Genomic DNA, 23,832 nt, shown 5'->3' with positions numbered 1-23,832 from the left:
ATTAGCCAGGCGAGGTGGCGGGCGCCTGTAGTCCCAGCTACTCAGGAGGCTGAGGCAGGAGAGTGGCGTGAACCCGGGAGGCAGAGCTTGCAGTGAGCCGAGATCGCGCCACTGCACTCCAGCCTGGATGACAGAGCAAGACTCCGTCTCAAAAAAAAAAGAAAAAAAGACATCTTAGCCTTTACTTAACAAACCTTTACTTTGCATCTTGATCCCATCATCTTTCATGTCCTCTACTGTGTGTTCAACACTGTCCTCTGTACTGGCTCCTTCTCTGCTGTTCATGAGCATGATCAAGTCTTTTCTGTGTTGCATGCTTTGCCACGTTTTCCCCTCTCCTTTTCCTTCCTTGCCACTCTTCTCTTGATTTCTCTGATACCACACTCATTTCAATGATCTATAGCTTTCATGGTTTCTTCTTGATCTCCTTGCTTTTTAAGTATTGATTTCCAAGTCTACCTACTTGGCCCAACTCTCTTCTTATTCTACAAGGTCTTCCCGGTAAATAACATCCATTCTCATGATGCTGATCTCTGCTGAGAGCCTCCCAGATTCATCCTCCATGCTGCCGTACAGTATTGATGCCTCCTTGAGATATGGGACCCTTAATTATACTGGGACCAATATATAAAATTTTATGTGTTTCCGTCTCACATAACATGAGGAGGACTGGACACCTCTCATGTATTTTATTTTTTATTTATTCATTTATTTATTTGTTTTTGAGACAGAATCTCACTCTGTCGCCCAGGCTGGAGCGCAGTGGCGCAATCTCGGCTCACTGCAGCCTCCGTCTCGGGGGTTCAAGCAATTCTCCTGCTTCAGCCTCCTGAGTAGCTGGGATTACAGGCGTAAGCCATGGTGCCCGGCCCCTCTCATGTATTTTACATTAACCTCAGCCTATGTGGCCCTTCAGCAGCTGTCAGATTATTTTAGTAAAGATCAATAGCATCCGCTGATTTATATAAGTGGAAGCTAAACATGCCTGCCCCTGCGACCTTGATATCAGGTAGTAGATTACCATGCAAGTTAGTCTTAGCCCAGATTATTCCAAATGTATTAACCTGTATTAGCAAGTGGGCCCAAAAAAACTCATCTCATCTGCTCATGTAAGCTTGAGGAAATCCTCACTCTGTCTTCAAGCATGCCTAAAGCATCTTGTATGGGAGCTTCACTCTGACGTGGCTGCAGTACTAGCCAAATAGCAGGATCAGCCAATCTTCTATTCAGATCTGTCAGCAGAGGCTTCCAAAAATTGAACTGAAGGCAATGGGGAGGGATGAACAATATAAAATCAAATAGAACTTAGACCTGGAAAGTAGGAGGTTGCTGGGTTTTCTAGCAGCTTATTCACCATATATTGAGTGTCTACTATGTATGAGGCACTGCTCTTAGCACTGGGCATATAGCTGTGAATAAAGTCAATTAATAACTCTGCTCTCATGAAACTTATACTCTGGTCAGATGTTCTTTTTTTTTTTTTTTTTTTTTTTTTTTTTTGAGACAGAGTCTCACTCTGTCACCCAGCCTGGAGTGCAGTGGCACAATCTCGGCTCACTGCAACCTCTGCCTTCCGGGTTCAAGTGATTGTCCTGCCTCAGCCTCCTGAGTAGCTGGGATTACAGGCATGCACCACCATGCCCAGCTAATATTTTGTATTTTTAGTAGAGATGGGGTCTCAACAAGTTGGCCAGCCTGGTCTCGAACTCCTGACCTCAGGTGATCTGCCCGCCTTGGCCTCCCAAAGTGCTGTGATTACAGCCATGAGCCACCATGCCCGGCCTGGGCAGATGTTCTTACAGCTCTTTCACACAAGAGTTATCAGACTGTGAAATCTTTCTACCCTCCCATATATCTGGAACACCATACATTTCACCAATGAAAACGGATTTCTACAAAAATTAACCAGGCATGGTGGCACATGCCTGTAATCCCAGCTACTCAGGAGGCTGAGGCAGGAGAATCGCTTGAATCCGGGAGGTGGACGTTGCAGTGAGCCAATATTGCACCACTGCACTCCAGCTTGGGCAACAAGAGTAAAACTCTGTCTCAAAAAAAAAAAAATGTATTTCTAGCATCCCTTTTGCTAATTACTTAACCTTCCGGTATAAATTTTTTAAAAAATCCTTGAAATGCCTAAGTAGCCACCTGGGGAGTATGGATTTTCTGATTAGGGCATTTCAAACTATAACCAACCAGCCCCAGGGTGTGAATTCCTAATAGGGTAACTCTAATAATAACTAACTTCCTTTCGAGTGTAGATTAAAGTTAATTTACACACTAGTACATTACAGTGTTTATAAGTAGGTATTTTAAAGTAAATTATAACAAAGGCAATATAACAACATGACAGGAAGTATGGTTGCCCAGATCTTCCAAGTATGACATACTGGTTTTATAAAGTTTCTTTCCCCTCCCCCCTCCACCCAGAGTCTTGCTCTATCACCCAGGCCAGAGTGCAGTGGCGCAATCTCAGCTCACTGAAAGCTCTGCCTCCCAGGTTGAAGTGATTCTCCTGCCTCAGCCTCCCGAGTAGCTGGGACCACAGGTGCGAGCCACCACACCCAGCTAATTTTTGTGTTTTTAATAGAGGTGGGGTTTCTCCATGTTGGCCAAGCTAGTCTCGAACTCCTGTGATCCACCTGTCTCAGCCTCCCAAAGTGCTGGGATTACAGGCGAGAGCCACCACACCTATCCTTGATATACTGCTTTTTAAATACTGAAGATATTTGTACTGCAGGTAAATTCTACTGTGTGAGTTCCTGGAACACCCTCCTCATGCTAAATAGCTTCCTTAGCCTCCCCACCATCAAACAACTAACTACAGGAACAACAACATGCACATCAGGGGCCTCCAGGCCCCCCTGCTATGTGACAAGGTTTGCATCCATTCTGAATGTTTCGTTTTCTTTTTTGAATGTTTCCTTTTTGTTTTATTTTTTTGAGACAGAGTCTCACTCTGTAATCCATGTTGGAGTGCAGTAGCATGATTACAGTTTACTGCAGCCTCAACCTCCTGGGCTCAAATGACTCTCCCACCTCAGCCTCCCAAATAGCTGGGACCACAGGCACATACCACAATGCCCAGCTAATTTTTCTTTTCCAGACTGGTCTCGAACTCCAGGGTTCAAGCAATCACCCACCTCAGCCTGCCAAAATACTGGGCCCTCTCATGCCATTCTTTTTTTTGTTTGTTTCTTTTTTTTTTTTTTTTTTTTTTGAGACAGAGTCTCGCTCTGTCACCCAGGCGGGGAGTACAGTAGTGCAATCTTAGCTCACTGCAACTTCCACTTCCTGGGTTCAAGCAATTCTTCTGGCTCAGCATCCTGAGTAGCAGGGATTACAGGTGTCCAGCACTACGCCCAGCTAATTTTTGTATTTACAGTAGAGACAGGGTTTCACTATGTGGCCAGGCTGGTCTCGAACTCCTGACCTCAGATGATCCTTCCACCTTGGTCTTCCAAAGTGCTTGGATTACAGGTGTGAGTCACCTCGCCCAACCCCTCTCAAGCCATTCTAATTAGTGAATAGCACTCTTACTCAAATCTTCAGCCATGAAGAAACTGAGAAGATTTTCTGAATCTCAACCTTAAATACCCTGGGGAAGAAATTTTCAACATCCCAGGTTGGGCCTGGGACTTACGCCAAAATTTACTAGGATTGGCTGTGCCACAGGACCTTGACATGGGAGGCTGCTTGTGGGGTGGGGTGATGGAGATGCTTGCAGACAATCTGCAGGTGTCCATGGCAGGGTTACTGGATTGCCCCAGTGTCAGCATTTTGCCAGGAAGGTCAATCAAGAGGGCAAAGAACCAAAACAGTTAAAGGTGTAAGCAGGATAGTGGACATGGAACGTAAATTGGATGGAAAGGGAAGTAAAAACAGGACTTTATTAAATTATGTGTAATAGACAATTTTACTTACATAAAAAGAGCTATTGGCCGGGCGCAGTGGCTCAAGCCTGTAATCCCAGCACTTTGGGAGGCAGAGGCAGGCAGATCACAGGAGTTCAAGACCAGCCTGGCCAACACAGCAAAACCCTGTCTCTACTAGAAATAGAAAAATTAGCAAGGCATGGTGGTGCACACCTGTAATCCCAGCTACTTGGGAGGCTGAGATAGGAGAATCTCTTGAACCCGGGAGGTAGAGACTGTAGTGAGCCGAGATAGCACCATCGTACTCCAGCCTGGGTGACAGAGTGAGACTCTGTCTCAAAAAAAAAAAAAAAAAAAAAAATGGTCAGCACAGTGGCTCATGCCTGTAATCCCAGCACTTTGGGAGGCCAAGGTGGGTGGATCACCTGAGGTCAGGAGTTCGAGACCAGCCTGGCCAACGTGGTGAAACCCCGTCTCTACTAAAAATACAAAAAAAAAATTAGCCAATCAAGGTGTCGGGTGCCTGTAATCCCAGCTACTGGGGAGGCTGAGGCAGGAGAATCCCTTGAACCTGGGAGGCGTAAGTTGCAGTGAGTTGAGATCGTGCCATTGCACTCCAGCCTGGGCGACAAAAGCAAAACTCCATCTCAAAAAAAAAAAAAAAAAAACTATTAATGCACACTTGAAATTATTGTCCTAGGTTATGGTCAGTTTATATAGGTATATAGATACCGTACCAAGGATAATCTGATGTTTTGGAAGGACGGAGTCTCACTCTGTGGCCCAGGCTGGAGCGCAGTGGTGCGATCTCAGCTCACTGCAACCTCCACCTCCCGGGTTCAAATGATTCTCCTGCCTCAGCCTCATGAGTATCTGGGATTACAGACGCACACCACCACGCCCGGCTAATTTTTGTATTTTTAGTAGAGACAGGGTTTCGCCATGTTGGCCAGTCTAGTCTCAAACTCCGGAGTTCAGTCTATCTGCCCGCTTCGGCCTCCCAAAGTGCTGGGATTACAGGGGTGAGCCGCCATGCCCGGCCGACTGCTACTTTAACACAAAGATGTTTTTCCCATCTTTTTTTTTTTATTATTATTTTTTGAGACGGAGTCTCTCTCTGTCGCCCAGGCTGGAGTGCAGTGGCGCGATCTCAGCTCACTGCAACCTCTGCCTCCTGGGTTCAAGCGATTCTCCTGCCTCAGCCTCCTGAGTAGCTAGGACTATAGGCACGTGCCACTACGCCTGGCTAAGTTTTTGTATTTTTAGTAGAGACGGGGTTTCACTGTTGTAGCCAGGATGGTCTCGATTTCCTGACCTCGTGATCCGCCAGCTTGGGCCTCCCAATGTGCTGGGATTACAGGCATGAGCCACCGCACCCGGCCTATTTTCCATATCTTATCATTACAAGGAAACTGAGGCAGGTGGAAGCGGCGGCGCTGGGAGCCGAGGAGGAGGAGGCTCCGGGTGCTGCTCAGGAACTGGGGACCCACGAGTGCCTGCACCCTGAGTGTTCAGCTCCAGAGGCATGATGGCTGGGTATGGGACCCTCCTCCAGGATCTGACCAACAATATCACCCTTAAAGATCTGAAACAGCACAAGTCAACCTGTAAGAAGGACATCCCCAGTGAAAAGAGTGAGGAGATCACTACTGGCGATGTCTGGTTTAGCTTCCTGAAGAGCCACTAGCCGGACAAAGACAACCTCTCCTACACTAAGCACATCTTTGAGATATTGACGAAAATTGTCTTGTGCTCAATGTAGGAGAGGTTGGCTCAGAGGCTGGCTCAGAGGCTGTCACCCAGGCTAGAGTGCAGTGGCACTATCATGGCTCACTGCAGCCTCGACCTCCTGGGCTCAAGTGATCCTTTCGTCAGGATATTTACAGAGGTTTATTATGAGCCAAATACTAGAAACCATGGCCCGAGGCACAGTGCCAAGAGGTCCTGACCACACATGCCCAAGGTAGTTGGGTTACAGCTTGGCTTTATACATTTTAGGGATACATAAGACATCAATCAATACATGTGATGTATACATTGTTTTGGTCTGGAAAGGCAGGACAACTCAAAGTGGGGGGATTCTTACAGACTCATATTGGGTAGATTCAAATATTTTCTGATTGGCAGTTAGTTGAAAGAGTTAAATTATAAAGATCTGGGGCCAAGTATGGTGGCTCACGCCAGTAATCTCAGCATATTAGCTGGCCAAGGCAAGAAGACTGCTTGAGCCCAGGAGTTCAAGACTAGCCTGGGCAATATGGTGAGACCTCATATCCACAAAAAAAAAAAAAAAAAAAAAAGCCAGGCATAGTTAGCATGCACCTGTAGTCCCAGGTACTCAGGAGGCTGAGGTGGGAGGATCACTTGAACCCAGGAGGTCGAGGCTGCAGTGAGCCATAATTGTGCCACTGCACTCTAGCCTGGGCTACAAAGTGAGACCCTGTCTCAAAAAATAAATAAAATAAAGACCTGTAATCAATAGAAAGGGGTGTCTCAGTTACGATAAGGGGTTGTAGAGACCAAGGCTCTTATTATGTAGATGAAGTCTCATAGAGGGTCACCCTTAGAGACAACAGATGGTGAATGTTTCCTATTTAGACCTTTAAAAAGAAGCTAGACTCTCCATTCGCTTCAGGATTGGGAGGGCCTGGAAGGGGAAAGATCTAGTTGTGTTAATAGAGATTCTTAGGCCGGGCGCAGTGCCTCATGACTGTAATCCCAACACTTTGGGAGGCCGAGGCAGGTGGATCAGAGGTCAGGAGATTGAGACAATCCTGGCCAACATGATAAAACCCCATCTCTACTAAAAACACAAAAAATAGCTGGGCGTGGTGGCACATGCCTATAGTCCCAGCTACTCAGGAGGCTGAGGCAGGAGAATCGTTTGAACCCAGGACGTGGAAATTGCAGTGAGCCGAGATCGTGCCACTGCACTCCAGCCTAAGCAACAGAGTGAGACTCAGTCTCAAAAAAAAAAAAAGAGGCTGGGCTCAGTGGCTCACACCTGTTATCCCAGCACTTTGGGAGGCTGAGGCAAGAGGATCACTTGAGGCCAAGAGTTCGAGATCAGCCTGGCCAACATGGAGAAACCCCGTCTCTACTAAAAATATAAAAATTGGCCGGGTGTGGTGGTGCGTGCCTATAATCCCAGCTACTCTGGGAGGCTGAGGCAGGAGAATCGGTTGAGCCCGGGAGGCGGAGGTTGCAGTGAGCCGAGATCATATGACTGCACTCCAGCCTGGGTGACAGAGTGAGACTCTGTCTCAATAAAAGAAAGAATCATAAGAAAACTGTGACATGTATCCACGACATCAACTTCTAAGAAATATATACAGAATGATTCTTTTAAGAACATCACAGTATTTATTGGTGTTTACTTTATGTCTGATGTTTCAAAGAAAAGAAAGTTGTACGGCGTGTATTTAGAAGATCTAGGTAGTAGTTTGAATAATCACTTTAGCTGGAGTGTGTGGTAAGTAAAAGGAAATTATGAGGCATTTTTATCTTGAAAGGATAGGGGCCGGGCGCAGTGGTTTACGCCTGTAATCCCAGCACTTTGGGAGGCTGAGGTGGGCCGGATCATGAGATCAGGAGATCGAGACCATCCTGGTTAACACGGTGAAATCCCGTCTCTACTAAAAATACAAACAATTAGTCACGCATGGTGGCACATGGCTGTAGTCTCAGCTACTCAGGAGGCTGAGGCAGGAGAATCACTTGAACCTGAGAGGTGGAGGTTGCAGGGAGCCAAGATCACGCCACTGCACTCCAGCCCGGGCGACAGAGCGAGATTCCAACTCAAAAAAAAAAAAGAAAAAAGAAAAGAACAGAAAAGATAGGCCAGGAGTGGTGGCTGACACCTGTAATTCCAACACTTTGGGAGGCTGAGGTGGGCTGATTACCTGAGGTCAGGAGTTCAAGACTAGCCTGGCAAACATGGAGAAATCCTGAACCCGGAGAATTGCTTGAACCCAGGAAGCGGAGGCTGCAGTGAGTTGAGATCACGCCACTGCACTCCAGCCCAAGCGACAGAACGAGACTCTGTCTCAAGAAAAAAAAAAAAAAAAGACCAGCCTGGCCAACATGGTGAAACCCCATCTCTACTAAAAATACAAAATTAGCTGTGTGTGGTGGCATGTGCCTGTAATCCCAGCTACTCGGGAGCCTGAGGCAGGAGAATCGCTTGAGCCTGGGAGACGGAGGTTGCAGTGAGCCAAGATGGTGCCACTGCACTCCAGCCTGGGTGACAAGAGTGAAACTCTGTCTCAAAAAAAGAAAAAAAAAGAAAAGATAGCTAAGACCATTTGTATCTCAGATTATTTATAATAGCAAAAAGCTCAAAACTTAGAAATGGAAGTAATGAGCAATATTGAATACCAATTATATGCAAATCCTATTATTCCAAACTAACCTGAACCAATTTGGACATGAATGACTTTTAGATAAATTCTGTTTGGCAGATACAAGTAACCAAAGTTGGGTTTTGTTTTGTTTTCTTTTGTTTTTTAAAGACAAGGTTTCACTCTGTCACTAAAGCTGGAGTACGGCAACGCTATCGTGGCTCACTGTGGCCTTGACCTCTCAGATTCAAGTGATTCTTCCACCTCAGCCTCCCAAGTAGTTGAGACCACAGGCACGCACCACCATGCCCAGCTAACTTTTCTATTTTTGTAGAGACAGTGTCTCCTTATGTTACCCAGGCTGGTCTGGAACTCTCAAGTGATCCTCCCTCCTTGGCCTCCCAAAATGCTGGGTTTACAGGCATGAGCCACCACACCTGGCCAGAAATTTCAAGAAAAAGCCAAGATTCCAGAAAGAATATCAGTTGGGTCAGGCATCCAGAATCCTCTAGTGTTCTTGGCCAGAGACTGCTTAAGGGATTTAGCTGAAAACATCATTGCCATGGGTGTGGGTTACAGGCCTCTAGGGATTCCTACACCCTAGTAATGAAAGGGCAAAGAGAGCCTCTGGAGGTATTGTATTGTATTGTATTGTATTGTATTGTATTGTATTGTATTGTATTGTATTGTATTGATTTAATCTCTCATCTCTGTAAACCTCTGGATCTGGAAAAATTTTAGGTAATCAGATATATTGAGTATCCTTCATTTTGACAAAAAAATCTGATTTCTAACATTCATCATGTTGGTCAACATGTCACTTTTTAACAGTAAAAACCCATTTCTCACATTTAGTAGGTGAATTACAAAGTGTTGCTATGATCAAGATACTAGTAACAGAAGTATTTGCAAAAGTGGCCTCTGAATGCTAGAAAATCACCACCCCTAGACTGTGCACTTTTTAATTTTTCATATATATATATATATATATATATATATTTTTTTTTTTTTTTTTTTTTTTTTTTTTTTTTTTGAGACAGGGTCTCATTCCGTCTATCATCCAGGCTGGAGTGCAGTGGCACAATCTTGTCTCACTGCAACCTCTGCCTTCCAGCTCAAGCGATTCTCCCACGTCAGCCCCCCAAGTAGCTAGGACTACAGGTGCCCACCACCATGCCAGGCTAATTTTTGTATTTTTTTTTAGTAGAGATGGGGTTTCGCCACGTTGTCCAGGACTGTCTTGAACTCCTGGCCTCAACTGATCCACCCGCCTCAGTCTCCCAAAGTTACAGGCATGAGCCACCACACCTGGCCCATATCCATATAGATAGAAAAGTACAGAGACAAGTATAATGAAACATGCAAACTCTCAGGTATGACCCTGAAGGTTCTCTGGGATTTGGACTCAAACTGTTTTTTTTTTTTTGGAGATAGAATCTTATTCTGTTGCCCAAGCTGGAGTGCAGTGGCACAATCTCGGCTCACTAAAACCTCCACTTTCCAGATTCAAGCAATTCTCCTGCCTCAGCCTCCTGAGTAGCTGGGATTACAGGTGCCCACCACCACATCTGGCTAATTTTTGTATTTTTGGTACAGACGAGGTTTGACCATGTTGGCCAGGTTGGTCTCGAACTCTTGACCTCAAGTGATCTCAAACCACTTTCCTACATTATCTGTGCTGGTCCCCAAGCTCTTCATTGTTCAGATAAAGCTGGGACTAGGGTGAGAAGAGTGAGGTGCCTAGAGCACAAAATGGAAAAAGACATCGCCCTCCAGTGCTGAGCCTGCACTTGTCCCATGTTGAGAGTGATGCCTCCTTAGCTTTTGCATCCTGGGTGCCTCTCTCACCTCATCCTAGTGCCAGGCCTATTCCCTGAAAATCTTAGGCACTTCACATGCACATACAATTTCAGTGCATCCTGAAAGCCCACTGATTTTGAGATGCCCTCTTAAAGTAACTTTGGGAATTGGCCAGGTATGCTGGCTGCCTGTCATGCCAGTGTCAGAGGCATGTGAACCAGAACAACTCCATCTTGAATAGGAGCTGGGTAAAATGAGGCTGAAACCTACGGGGCTGTATTCCCAGACAGTTAAGGCATTCTAAATCACAGGATGAGATAGGAGATCAGCACAAGATACGGGTCATAAAGACCTTGTTGGCCGGGCGCAATGGCTCACACCTGTAATCCCAGCACTTTGGGAGGCTGAGGCGGGAGGATCACGAGGTCAGGAGTTCAAGATCAGCCTGGCAAACATGGTGAAACCACATCTCTACTAAAAATACAAAAATTAGCCAGGCACGATGGCAGGCGCCTGTAATCTCAGCTACTCGGGAGGTTAAGGCAGGAGAATCGCTTGGACCTAGGCAGCAGAGGTTGCAGTGAGCTGAGATGGCGGCGCTGCACTCCAGCCTGGGTGACACAGTGAGACTGTCTCAAAAAAAAAAACAAAAAACAAAAACAAACAAAAAAAAAACCTTGATAAAATAGGTTGCAGTAAGGAATCCAGCTAAATCCTACCAAAACCAAGATGGCCACAAGAGTGACCTCTGGTTGTCCTCACTGCTCACTACCAGCAGCACCATGACAGTTTACAAATGCCATGGCAACATCAGGCAGTTACCCAATATGGTCTAAAAAGGGGAGGCATGAATAATCCACCCCTCGTTTAGCATATCATCAATAAATAACCATAAAAATGGACAACCAGCGGCCCGCTGGGCTGCTCTGTCTATGGAATAGCCATTCTTTTATTTCTTTTTTTTTATTTTGCATAACAAGTTTATTTTTTAAAAGGCATATAGACAATAAACAAACTAAATATTTAATCAGATCTTAACTTCTGTCCTAGAATTGTTCTGTTAAGTTCTAGTCTGTGAGCACTTGTAGTTCAATAATCGTCTTCTTCATCAGAGTCCATTACTTTTCTTCTGTTGAATTTCACTGTTGTTGTCTTTTCTGTTTGTTGGCTTACTTTTTAAAGGATTTCTATTAAACCTTGTTCTGACACCTTCTCAGTTGTCCATATCTTGCCATCTGTATAAGGTAATTCTCTACTGCTTTAGTTTTTTCAGGCTTTACAAGTGCTAAGTTACTTAAACCTGGCCCGGCCGACTGATCCAAAACTTGGGTTAAGATACTGTTTCTCATTTCTGCTTCCCTGTGCTTTGCTTCCTGTTGGGCTGCATCGCCAGGATCCTGTCGGCTAAACTTGGGTCAGAACAAATGAATTCCGGAAAAACTGAATTCGGCCCGGCTGCTGCTGGCTCCAAAAGCTGAGACTGTGCTTGGATCCAGGCCCGCCAGGACGAGCCCGCTCCAGGCCAGGGGACCCCACACCCCAACGCCGGGGCAGGTCCTGCATGTGGCAGCCCCTGCCGCGAGCCTCCTGGGCCCCTCGTGACGGGGAAAGCGGCATGGCCACCTCGGAGCCGGCCATGAGGCCGCCAGGGCAGCGCCAGGGACCGGGCCCCCGGGGAGGCACCCAGAGCCTCCCCATTCTTTTATTTCTTTACTGTCTTAATAAACTTGCTTTCACTTTGCACTGCGGACTCTCCCTGAATTCTTTCTTGCACGAAATCCAAGAACGCTCTCTTAGGGTCTTGTTCGGGACCCCTTTCCATAACATATTTCTCTGTCCTGTAACACCAGCACTTTGCGAGGCCGAGGCAGGAGGATTGTTTGAGGCCAGGAGTTTGAGACTAGCCTGGGCAACATAGTGAGATTCTGTCTCCATAAAATTAAAAATAATAATAATAATAATAACCTTCGGAGGCCGGGTGCAGTGGCTCACACCTGTAATCCCAGCACTTTGGAAGACCAAGGTGGGCAGATCAAGAGGTCAAGACATCGAGACCATCCTGGCCAACATGGTGAAACCCCTTCTCTACTAAAAATACAAAAAAATTCGCTAGGTGTGGTGGCGTGTGCCTATAGTCCCAGCTACTCGGGAGGCTGAGGCAGGAGAATCGCTTGAACCCAGGAGGTGGAGGTTGTAGTGAACTAAGATCACACCACTGCACTCCAGCCTGGCGATAGCACAAGACCCTGTCTCAAAAATAAAAGATAAAAAAAATTAAAAAAATAAAAAACTTTGGGAATCAAAATATGCAGTCTTCACATCAGCTCTAGTGTTCATATGTGACTTCAATTTTGAATCTTAAGATACAAGATTCCAGGGCCTCTGAGAGTCCACAGAACACCTCTGTGTGACTTGGAAAAGGCACTACCTCCGGACAGATACAGCCCTGCTGAGAGCAGCTGCAGAATAAGAAGAACTCAGCCTTGCTGTCTCCACCAGTGCCCTTGTAGTACAGAACCTGCGCAGCACTTACGGACAGGAGTCTGGTGATTCATGCCTTTCACGTGGGTGATGTGAATGAGGACCCAGTTTAGAGTCAGACATACCTTTTCAATTCCAAGCCAGCCTTATGCCAGGAAATTCTGAGCTTCACTGTACATGGTCTGAGTCTGTTCTCCAACCTCTAAAATGTGCGCAATAATTTTTAGAGTTATTATGAGGAGTAAACGAGTCAATCTATGTCAAGTGTTTTCTTTCTGTCTTATAGTTGCTGCTCATTAAATGCTAGTTTCCCTGGAAGAGCTTAATAGAAATGTGAATGAATGTGTTTCCTTCGGGCGATGTTCCAGCACTGTAGAGGTCTTAGATGTGCCAGAACCTGAGAGAAGAATAATCATAGTAATAATAACAAGTATGTATTATAAGTCTTTACTTGTGCCAGGCACTGTTCTGAGAACTTTACATGGATTAACTCATTTAATCCTCCCAACTCTAAGAAGCAGGAATTTGTAAAATCCCCTTTTAGAGATGCAAAAAGGCCCTGGCCAAAATGTCCTGGGGCTCCTCTGGCTCAGTAAGAGCTAAGAACCAAAGACAGAAGAGGAAATTCTCTCTGCATTTTCAGTCTGTGTGGCTCTCTGGCAAGGCTGGGTCTCCCCATCAGGGCACGGGATGTGGTAGAGGAGGTTCCCAGGCTGAAACAGTGAGCTACATCCTCCCTCTGGACCAAGCTTCCTTTAATATTGCGAATTAGTAAATCAGCTGGATAGTTGTTCTAACACTCCAGCTAAGAGTGAACAAGGATTATAGATGAGAATAGGCTAATTTGTTTGTTTTACAGAGTTAAATAATTTCAGGAGATCCACTCTCAAATTGTAGTCCAAGCTTCCAAGTGACTTTTGCTAATAGCTTTGCCTTTTCTTTAGTTTATGTCAGTAAAATGGGTGTTGTTCCACATCTGTTAACATCCCTATAAGCTTTCAGTGAATGTTTTTTTTTGCCGTGACCGCCTCACAGCCAGTGAACTTAATCATTGCTGACATCAGCAATTTCTCTGCCATTGATATGGAAGTTAAGTTTAGTTTAAGTAAAATTAGTTTACCCAAAACCAATTACGCATTTTAGCACCTGCAATGCAAGTTAAGCCGTCCCTCCTTCCTCAAACACAGCTATTTACATTTATTAGCACTTCACTGACAGGTCTCTTCAAGCTCAAGCATTAAACGGTCTTACAAATGTTTCCTGCTCCCGAATTCTTAGATACTGAGATCCGCATGGGCTGAAACCATCCTGATTATTTCCAGAAGCCTGGGAAACAGGTCCTAGATAGTCATAATTTAGTATTTTAATTTACTCAACAAATAATTACTGAACACCTACTATGTACCAGGATTTTGTAGGGTCTCTGGTAAAGAATACAAAAATCTTTTGGTTGGGGAAGGGGGTAGATGAAGGTCACGAAACAGGGGAGAAGCAGTTCCTAGAGGCACAAGGAAGCTAGGGAGAGCGCAGGGTATTCGAATTGGCTGTCTCAGCTAGAGAAAACATCTATAAAGGGCCAGACGCAATGCAGGTTCTGTCTCAAATATTTGAATCTCTTCCATCTACACCATTTGGCAGACAGGAAGTCCCTACTCTCTGTGGATTTACTAATGGGAGAGACAAACCTCTGATGTAATGAAGTGGCAGGAGGTGTGTTTACTCCAGCTTCCCTTGAAGGGAAAGAATAGTGGCAGAAAGTTCTTCGGTGAACCCCAGGGTACACATATAAGAGTGGGAGCACGTGCTGGTTTGCAGTTTTTGTTAAATCCAACTGGCTCCAGCTCTGTCAGATAAGAGTAAATTAATTCATTTATACTCCACAACCATAGCGGGGGATGAGAAAAAGGAGGTTGAGCAGTGAAGATTAGGGCGCTGGCCCTATCTTAGAGTGAGAGAGGGTCTAATTTCTTGAGAGAGAAGCCCTACATGTTCTGTTTTCTTGCCCTGGTCTGCTCCATTTTTGCACTTTTATAACTACTACACAAAAAAGCTATGGGTTGAAATCAGGTCCCTGGAGCATTTTTAGCTACCAGTCAATCTAGGGAAACTCTAGCTTTTGGAAGGTTAAATCAGACTATGATTCAGAGAGTTTGCATTTTAAGGAGAAGCAATGTAATTATTGCTCAGAAGAAAGTTTTAATGCAGTCCCAAGGTAATTAAGTACAAAGCCTAAATTAGATGCTGTACTTACTAAATTGACTTTCTATAACTTAGAAAAGAAGATTCCTAGGCAAAGCCCACGACATTATAATGAAAAAAGCCTTCCACTAAGCTGGTCTGATTGACTTGGTCAAATGGTATATAAATTAAATCCATCTGAAGAATCTGATCTCCAAATGGGATTTTCATTTCCATAAGACTGCAGTTTAAAAATGTATGTGAAGTAAGAAAGTAAGACTAAAATCATTTCCCCCCACGGCTGGTGAACTTGGCAGTCCACGTGGAAAATGAGCCAGCTCTTCCCTTGCTGAACAAATCCATTCAAAGTGATTTCACAGTTTTCCTTCCTTATCCTGTGGAATGTGGAAGCCATTTTCCAGTGAGTTAAAAAAATATGATTCTGAGGTTTTAACCCTTTGGGACAAGATATTCATTCTCTCTTTTTTTATTTTTCCAAGGGTATGTAGGATAATGCAATAGGGATTTTTTTTTTTTTTTAGCACAAATGCTGAAGGCAGAAAGTTGATTCAACCTTATTTAATTAGGACCCAAAGGGAATAGTTATGCCTAATATAATGCGAAGTTCTGTAATTGAACTAATATGATTTTGCAGCCACCTCTCAGGGCAACACTAACGCAAGTAGATTAAATGATGCAGGAAAAACTTTTTTGTTTTGGTGTTGCAAAATTAAATAAACTAATTAAAAATCACTAGTTGAAGGCTGCAAGCTTTTGTAGTCAAGTTGGGTTCTTTTGGGGGTACCTGACTTCCTTTGCCCAATTTTTCCCCGATTCTATGCCAAACTCTATGCCAGGTAAAAAAGATAGATATGTGTTTGCTTATATTTACATAAAATATATCTTCCGGAAAAGAAACAAAAAAAAATTTTTTTTGCTGTTTTGCTTTATTTATTTTTACTTTATTTATTTATTTATTTATTTATTTGAGACAGAGTCTCACTCTGTCACCCATGCTGGAGTGCAGTAGCGAGATCTCGGGTCACTGCAACCTCTGCCTCCCGGGTTCAAGCGATTCTCCTACCTCAGCCTCCTGAGCAGCTGGAATTACAGGTGTGCGCCACCATGCCCAGCTAATTTTTTGCATTTTTTTAGTAGAGACGGGGTTTCACCACGTTGGTTAGGCTGCTCTTGAACTCCTGACCTCGTGATCCACCTGCCTCGGCCTCCCAAAGTGCTGGGATTTTAGGTGTGAGTCACCGCGCCCGGCCTTGCATTTTTGAAATAGGCGATTCATTCACATTAAATCCAGAAAGTGTATACGAGAAAACGCTTTCTTTTTTTTTTTTTTTCTTGCTCTGTGGCCCAGGCTGGAGCGCAGTGGTGCAATCTCGGCTCACCGCAACTTCCACCTCCTGGGTTCAAGCGATTCTCCTGTCTCAGCCTCCCAAGTAACTATGCACCACCATGCTCAGCTAATTTTTTGTTGTATTTATAGTAGAGACAGAGTTTCACCATGTTGGCCAGGCTGGTCTCGAACTCCTGACCTCAGGTGATCCGTCCACCTCGGCCTCCCATAGTGCTGGGATTACAGGCATGAGCCAGCACACCCGGCCAAGAAAAGTCTTTCTACTTCTGCCTCCCAACTGCCCAGTTTCCCTTTCCAAAACAACTAATATTCTAATTTGGTTTTGTATTTTTGTTATGGTGAGATATTTTATGTATACTTAAGTAGCTACACATACGTATTCTCTAAGTCCCAAACTTAATCCTTACAAAAAGAACAGCATAGCTTAACAGAAACATCTTCCTTACATTTTAAACTTTTTTTTTTTTTTTGAGACAGAGTTTCACTCTTGTTGCCCAGGCTGGAGTGCAATGGCGCAATCTCAGCTCACTATAACCTCCGCCTCCGGGGTTCAAGCAATTCTTCTGCCTCAGACTCCTGAGTAGCTGGGATTACAGGCATGCACCACCTAGCCGGGATAAGTTTTTTGTATTTTCAGTAGAGACGGAGTTTCTCCATGTTGGTCAGGCTGGTCTCGAACTCCCAACCTCAGGTGACCCGCCCGCCTCGGCCTCCCAAAGTACTGGGATTACAGGAGTAAGCCACCACGTCCAGCCATTTTTAACTTTTTTAAGCAATAGGCTCGGCTGGGCTCAGTGGCTCACACCTGTAATCCCAGCACTTTGGGAGGCCAAGACAGAAGGATTGCTTGAGCCCAGGAGTTCAGGACCAGCCTGGGCAACATAGTAAGACCCTGTCTCTAAAAAGAAAAAAGAGATGGAGGCTGGGCGTAGTGGCTCACGCCTGTAATACCAGCACTTTGGGAGGCCAAGGCAGTCAGATCATGAGGTCAGGAGTTCAAGACCTGCCTGGCCAACATGGTGAAACCCCGTCTCTACTAAAAATACAGAAATTAACTGGGCATGGTGGCGTGCGCCTGTAATCCCAGCTACTTGGGAGGCTGAGGCAGGAGAATTGCTTGAGCTGGGACCTGGGAGGTGGAGGTTGCAGTGAGCCAAGATTGCGCCCGGGCTACAGACCCAGACTCCATCTCAAAAGAAAAAAAAAAGAAAAAAGAAAAAAGAGATGGGGTCTTTCTGTGTCACCCGAGCTGAAGTGCAGCGGTACCAATAGCTTACTGCAACCTTGCGTTGAACTTCTGGGCTCAAATAATCTTCCCACCTTAGCCTCCGGAGTAGCTGGGACTACAGGTGTGCACCATGCCAGGCTAATTCTTTTTTGTTGTTAGAGATGGGGTTTCGCTATGTTGTTCATAATGTTCTCAAATTATTGGGCTTGAGTAATCTTCCTGTCTCAGCCTCCTGAGTAGCCGAGATTACAAGTGTGAGACACCATGCCCAATCTTTACATTTTTTTAAACGTAAAAAATTTCTTTGACAGAGGAGCAAAGGTAATACAATAGAGAAAAGATAGTCTTTTCAACAAATGTTGTTGAACAACTGGACATCCACATGCAAAATATGAAACTAGACAGACCTTACATCCTTCACAAAAATTAGTTCAAAATGGATCACAGACCTAAATGTAAAACGCAAAACTATAAAGCTCACAGAAGATAACATAGGAGAAAATCCAGATGATCTTGAATTTGGTGATCACTTTTTAGATAGAACACCAAAGGCAAGATCCGTGAGAGAAATAATTGATAAAATAGACCTCAGTAAAATTTTTTTTTTTTTTTGAGACAGAGTTTCGCTCTTGCTGCCCAGGCTGGAGTGCAATGGCGCAATCTCAGCTCACTGCAACCTCCGCCTCCTGGGTTCAAGCGAATTCTCCTGTCTCAGCCTCCAGAGTAAGCTGGGATTACAGGTGCATGCCACCACGTTCGGCTATTTTCTGTATTTTTAGTAGAGACGGGGTTTCATCATATTGGTCAGGCTGATCTCGAACTCCTGACCTCAGGTAATCCACCCACCTGGGCCTCCCAAAGTGTGCGTCTATTTATCTGAAGATTGTTAGTGCAGTTAAACTATTTTGTATGATAATATAATCATGATGCATGTCATTATACATTTTTGTAAACCCACAGAATGTATGATGCCAAGAGTGAGCCCTAATGTAAACTATGGACTTTGGGTGATAATGATGTATCAATGTAGGCTGGGTGTGGTGGCTCATGCCTATAATCCCAGCACTTTGGGAGCCCTAGGCAGTGGATCACTTGAGGTCAGAAGTTCGAGACTAGCCTGGCCAATATGGTGAAACCCCATCTCTACTAAAAATGCAAAAATTAGCCAGGCGTGGTGGCAGGCTCCTGTAATCCCAGCTACTTGGGAGGCTAAAGCAGGAGAGTCCTTTGACTCGGGAGGCAGAGGTTGCAGTGAGCCAAGATTGCACCACTGCACTCCAGCCTGGAGTGAGACTCCGTCTCAAAAAAGAAAAAAAAAAAAAAAACTGGCCAGGCATGGTGGTGCACATCTGTAGTCCCAGCTACTCCGGAGGCTGACACAGGAGAATCACTTGAACTCGGGAGGTGGAGGTTGCAGTGAGCTGAGATGGCCCACTGTACTCCAGCCTGGGGACACAGACTCCATCTCAAAAAAAAAGATAAAGTATCAATGTAGGTTTATAGGTTCATTGATTTTAATAAATGTATCCTCTGGTGAGGGATGTTCATAATGGGGGTGTGAGACGAAGCAGGAACCCCTGTTAGGGGCCTGCCAGTCCTCCCACCTCTCTACCATCCTGCCACAAGCATGAAAATAGAGGAAAATCTTGAATTTCTTTAAGAACAAATCCAGCCGGGCGCAGTGGATCACGCCTGTAATCCCAGGACTTTGGGAGGGTGAGGTGGGCGGATCACGAGGTCAAGAGATGGAGACCATCCTGACCAACATGGTGAAACCCTGTCTGTACTAAAAATACAAAAATTAGCTGGGTATGGTGGTACATGCCTGTCAGTCCCAGCTACTCAGGAGGCTGAGGCAGGAGAATTGCTTGAAATCGGAGTCAGAGGTTGCAGTGAGCCGAGATCGCGCCACTGCACTCCAGCCTGGCGACAGAGCGAGACTCCGTCTCAAAAAAAAAAATAAGTAAATAAAATAAAAATAACAATTCCAGATACCTAGCTAGTGCTGAGAAGTAAATAAGCAATTTGATAAGCAAGAAGGTAATAGTAGCCTAAAACGATAGCCAACTGGGCGAGGTGGCTCACGCCTGTAACCCCAGCACTTTGGGAGGACGAGTCGGACAGATCACTTGAGTTCCAGAACAGCCTTGGCAACATGGTGAAACCCCATCTCTACTAAAAAGGCAAAAAATTAGCTGGGCGTGGTGGGGCATGCCTGTAGTCCCAGCTACTCAGGAGGCTTGAGGCAGGAGAATCACTTGAACCCTGGAGGCAGAGGTTGCAGTGAGTCCAGATCTCGCCACTGCACTCCAGCCTGGGCAACACAGTGAGACCTTGTCTGAAAAAAAAAAAAAAAAAAAAAAGAGTAGCCAAGGAAGTTGGAATCACGAGATGTTTGGTTCCCTATAGAAACTAAAAATAATATCGTAACATATGGCCCTGCGTTTCATAAACATGGATCCCTAACAAATGGATCCACTGCCACATAGACCTCAGATAAGGGAGAACTGAGAACTCAACTCTCCCGCATTCTTTGTTCTAAATTTCTTCCTGAGGAGCCTGGAGAAAGCCACACCCACGAGCCAGACCCAACGTTCTTTTCTGCGGAACCCAGTCTTTATAAATGCTTCCCTTCCTTAACCAGTTGTAAATCAGAAAATCTTTGAAACCTTGTTTTTCCAATATGGCGGATAGGAGCCGGTGTTAGCGTGCCTCTCCCACTTGGAAAGACAGAATAGTGTGTAGAGATTCACACTGTGAACATTTTTCCGAGAAGCAACACAGGAACTTAACAGAAAACCACAGACCCTTTGAAAGAAGCAGTGGGTAGCACCCTACACTGTGAAGTAGAAAACTGTTGAGTTTTCAGAGCCTGAGAGGAAGCGCGATGGCCGCCATGCCACACACGCCCTAAAAGAGCTGGGCAACCCAGGCCACAGGGGAAGGCCTTAACCCTACCCAGCTGTTGCTGATTTAGTGAGTGATGGGGAATGTGTGAGAAAGAGTGGCTCTGGGAAGTGCTCTGCACGCACTCCCAGACTCACGCAGGGACAGAGGGAAGCCATTCCTGATCCTACCTCACAAAGGACCGCTGGGAAGTCGGCCAGCTAACTCAGGCGATGGTCACAGGTTAAGAGAAGCTCCCAAGTGAGATCTGCGATATAATCACCTTGACTGGGGACGATCTCCGTTGTCCAGAACCGAGGGTCGAGCGGGAAGTGCGGCGAAGGAGCTGGTTGCCCTTGCTTTACAGGTGGACGCTGGGAGGGGCGTGGCCTGAAAGCCAGGGTTGCTATCTCTCTAGGAAGGCTTATGGCCTGGAGCTTTTTTTTTGAAACGGAGTCTCCTTCTGTCGCCCAGGCTGGAGTGCAGTACCGTGATCTTGGCTCATTTCAACCTCCGCCTCCCGGGTTCACGCCATTCTCCTGCCTCAGCCTCCAAGTAGCTGGGACTACAGCGCCAGCCACCACGCCTGGCTAATTTTTAGTATTTTTAGTAGAGACGGGGTTTCACCGTGTTAGCCAGGATAGTCTCGATCTCCTGACCCGTGAACCGCCTGCCTTGGCCTCCCAAAGTGCTGGGATTACAGGCGTGAGCCACCGCGCCCCGCCGGCCTGGAGCATTTTTGAGTTCTGAGTGCAGGCTGCCTGGAACCTACCTAACTGTTGCTAGTGGAACACTGCGGGTGGGAGCTGTTTGGGGCTTACTGCCGCCTGCTACCCTCGGTTCCCCATGCAGATTCTTTCGTGCAGCAGAGGCAGCTGTGCTTTTCCCTGGAACATTACTCCAGCAGCCAGGAAACTTCCCTCTGATCCCCACTAAGGCCACTGCTTGTGCCTACATCTGGGGAGCCGGAGGGTGGACTTGCCTGACCCAGCCCCCACCTGGTTTTGCCAATCCACCCGCACAGATAGTGTAACACAAGGGACTGGGACATTTAGGAGTGGAGCTCCATGGCCCTACCCATGGTCTGAGAGGCCAGAGTACTTCTCCTGGGTGACATAAGGCAAGCACAAATTCCATTGCTACCACCACAGCTGGCGCTTTTTGCAAGCACCAATTCCTGGCTGGAGGCCAACCAGTGCAGCCCAGTACATTTGCAGACACAATAACGCAGTGTTCAGGAAGGAGAAAACTTGAGTGACCTCAGCTATTGCCACTGCCTGCATCACCTTGGCTAACTAGGAGGTCTTGAGTCTGTCCACATGCCCAGTACATTACTACGACAGCTGGCATTTGAGGAGGCCAACACACTAAGCCATTTGTAACCAAGGAAATCTCAGAGTCTGTGTCACTCTCCTCCTGACCCCATCAGAGCTGGTGCTGGTACCTGCTGCTGGGAGACTTGAGGACAGGTCACATCTCTGGATCCCTTGCAGACATTCCCCAGCACCAATCTGGAGTGTGACAGCCCCACTGAGCAGCTAGACCCAGAGGAGCAGTATTCACAGTAGTCTGGCCCTCAGGGACTGCTACTCCTAGGGGAAAGGGAAGTGTACTACCTTAAGGGAGCACCCTCTGGGACAAAAGAAACCAGGCTGCAGGACTTGAGTTCCTAGTATTTCCACTTGTGGGAAGTTTCTTTCAGCAAAGCCACAGGTTCAGTGGTAGGCTCAGTGAGGAAAGTCTGTGGCCCTACCCCAATAGTCAAGCATCCCTGGCACTCATGAAGGGTCTTGGAGAAGAGAACTTCTCCTCTCCCTTTCCCACCACTGCAGACATAGCTGGACCTTCCCCCATGAGAACTTGGCATAGGTGCATTCGTAGACAACCTTTCTGGAACACTATAGGGTGACTGCAACCCCACAGGAGGAGTGCCATCCAGGTTCAGGCTTGCATGAGAGGGAGAGTCGCAGTCCCTCTCTATGTGGAACAACAGCATTCCTGCAGATGAACAGAGGTGCTTGTCTCACCAGAACAGTCGGAATGCTGGGTCAGAAGTGTAACTAGGAGGTAGATCCGCTTCCTGCTGACCTGGCAAGGGAGCTGAGGTGGCTCCCTCTCTTCCCCCTGAAAAGACAGTGCGTTTCGCTGAGAGCCTCCTCAGCTGCCTCTGTCAAGAGTGGGGCCTCTGCCAATCATTGGGGTATTGCATTTACCCACCTGCTTTAGCTGCAGCCAGTTTCTACCCATGGGTAACTCCTACTGGCTTGAAGCCTGAACTGTTCAACCCAGTGAATAAAATACTGGGGGAAAAACTTCTTTAAGTGTGCACATTGGGGAATGAGGTAAGCTTCGTGAGACCTCTGCTATTCCAGCCCCACAAGAGACAGTGAAACAATGTACACAGCCTGTACCTTGCTACTACAACCAGCATCTGAGGAAGCCATTGCACAAAGATTCTCTTTAACCAAGGAGCACATACAGAATCTGCATCACTGAAAGCACCCGGAGCCAAAGGTAGCTGACAGTAAACTGTAAGTATTAAAGTGACATCCTCAAGGGGGAAATAAAAATAAAATTTAAAAACTTGGCTGGGCACAGTTGTTCATACTTGTAATCCCAACACTTTAGGAGGCTGAGGCAGGTGGATCACTTGACCCCAGTAATTTGAGATGAGTCTTGGCAACATGGCAAGACCTCATCTTGAAAATAGAAAAACAAACAAACAAACAAAAACACAACAACAGGCCGGGCATGGTGGCTCATGTCTGTAATCCTAGCACTTTGGGAGGCCGAGGCGGGAGATCACCTGAGGTCGGGAGTTTGAGACCAGCCTGGCTAATATAGTGAAACCTCATCTCTACTAAAAATACAAAAATTAACTGGGCTTGGTGGCACCCTCCTGTAGTCCCAGCTACTTGGAAGGCTGAGGCAGGAGAATCGCTTGAACCCGGGAAGCGGAGGTTGCAGTGAGCCAAGATCGTGCCACTGTACTCCAGCCTGGGTAACAGCGAGACTCTGTCTCAAAAAAACAAACAAACCAAAATAAAAAAAATTAGCCTGGCATGGTGGCAGTCTCCTGTAGTCCCAGCTACTTGGGAGACTGAGGCAGGAAAATCGTTTGAACCTGGGAGGTGGAGTTTGCAGTGAGCTGAGATCGTGCCATTGCCATTGCACTCCAGCCTGGGTGACAAAGCAAGACTCTGTCTCAAACAAAACAAAACAAAACAAAACAAAACAAAACCAAAAACACAGTTGGACGCAGTGGCTCAGGCATGTCATCTCAGTGTAATCTCGGCACTTCAGGAGGCAGAGGCAGGCAGACACTTGATCCCAGTAGTTGAGACATGCCTGGGCAACATGGAGAAACCCTGACTCTACAAAAAACACAAAACGTAACGAGGCATGGGGATGCACACTTGTAGTCCCAGCTACTCAGGAGGCTAAGACAGGAGGATTGTTTGAGACTGGGAGGCAGAGGTTGAGGTGAGCTGAGATCATGCCATTTTGAGACAGAGGCCCTGTCTCAAATAAATAAATAAATAATAAATAAATAAAAGTCAGTCAAATAAAAAATAAATTCAAAAATAATTAAAAGAAATAGTTGAAGGCCAGGCGCAGTGGCTCAAGCCTGTAATTCCAGCACTTTGGGAGGCCAAGGAGAGCGGATCACGAGGT

The 23,832-nt window shown here is 46.0% G+C and overlaps 1 protein-coding gene and 1 pseudogene across 2 annotated transcripts in view, besides 2 other annotated features; both read right to left on the bottom strand.

Moving 5' to 3' along the window:
* AEBP2 (AE binding protein 2) overlaps positions 1 to 20,493 on the bottom strand; it is a 118,156-nt gene extending 97,663 nt beyond the window's left edge. The window contains exon 1 of one of the 2 annotated variants that reach the window (XM_047428299.1): positions 20,349 to 20,493. The gene's annotated coding sequence lies outside the window, so the exon portion shown is untranslated. The remainder of the gene's footprint in view (positions 1 to 20,348) is intronic. The other variant, XM_017018806.2, reaches the window with a different exon arrangement.
* Positions 10,977 to 11,413, bottom strand: PDCD5P1 (programmed cell death 5 pseudogene 1; annotated as a pseudogene).
* Positions 13,104 to 13,996: an enhancer, noted in NCBI's record as "H3K27ac hESC enhancer chr12:19563503-19564395 (GRCh37/hg19 assembly coordinates)". NCBI's record gives its function as "activates a minimal SCP1, AML or CMV promoter by ChIP-STARR-seq in naive H9 embryonic stem cells {active_cell/tissue: H9 hESC(naive)}" and the evidence as "EXISTENCE:reporter gene assay evidence [ECO:0000049][PMID:30033119]".
* Positions 16,033 to 16,533: an enhancer, noted in NCBI's record as "H3K27ac hESC enhancer chr12:19560966-19561466 (GRCh37/hg19 assembly coordinates)". NCBI's record gives its function as "activates a minimal SCP1, AML or CMV promoter by ChIP-STARR-seq in primed H9 embryonic stem cells {active_cell/tissue: H9 hESC(primed)}" and the evidence as "EXISTENCE:reporter gene assay evidence [ECO:0000049][PMID:30033119]".
* Positions 20,494 to 23,832: the final 3,339 nt, after the last annotated feature.

Source organism: Homo sapiens, chromosome 12 (assembly GCF_000001405.40).
Source record: "Homo sapiens chromosome 12, GRCh38.p14 Primary Assembly".
In the NCBI taxonomy this organism is placed as follows: domain Eukaryota; kingdom Metazoa; phylum Chordata; class Mammalia; order Primates; family Hominidae; genus Homo; species Homo sapiens.
Note: the sequence above shows the minus strand (reverse complement) of the source record. Positions and strands in the feature narration are given on the sequence as shown.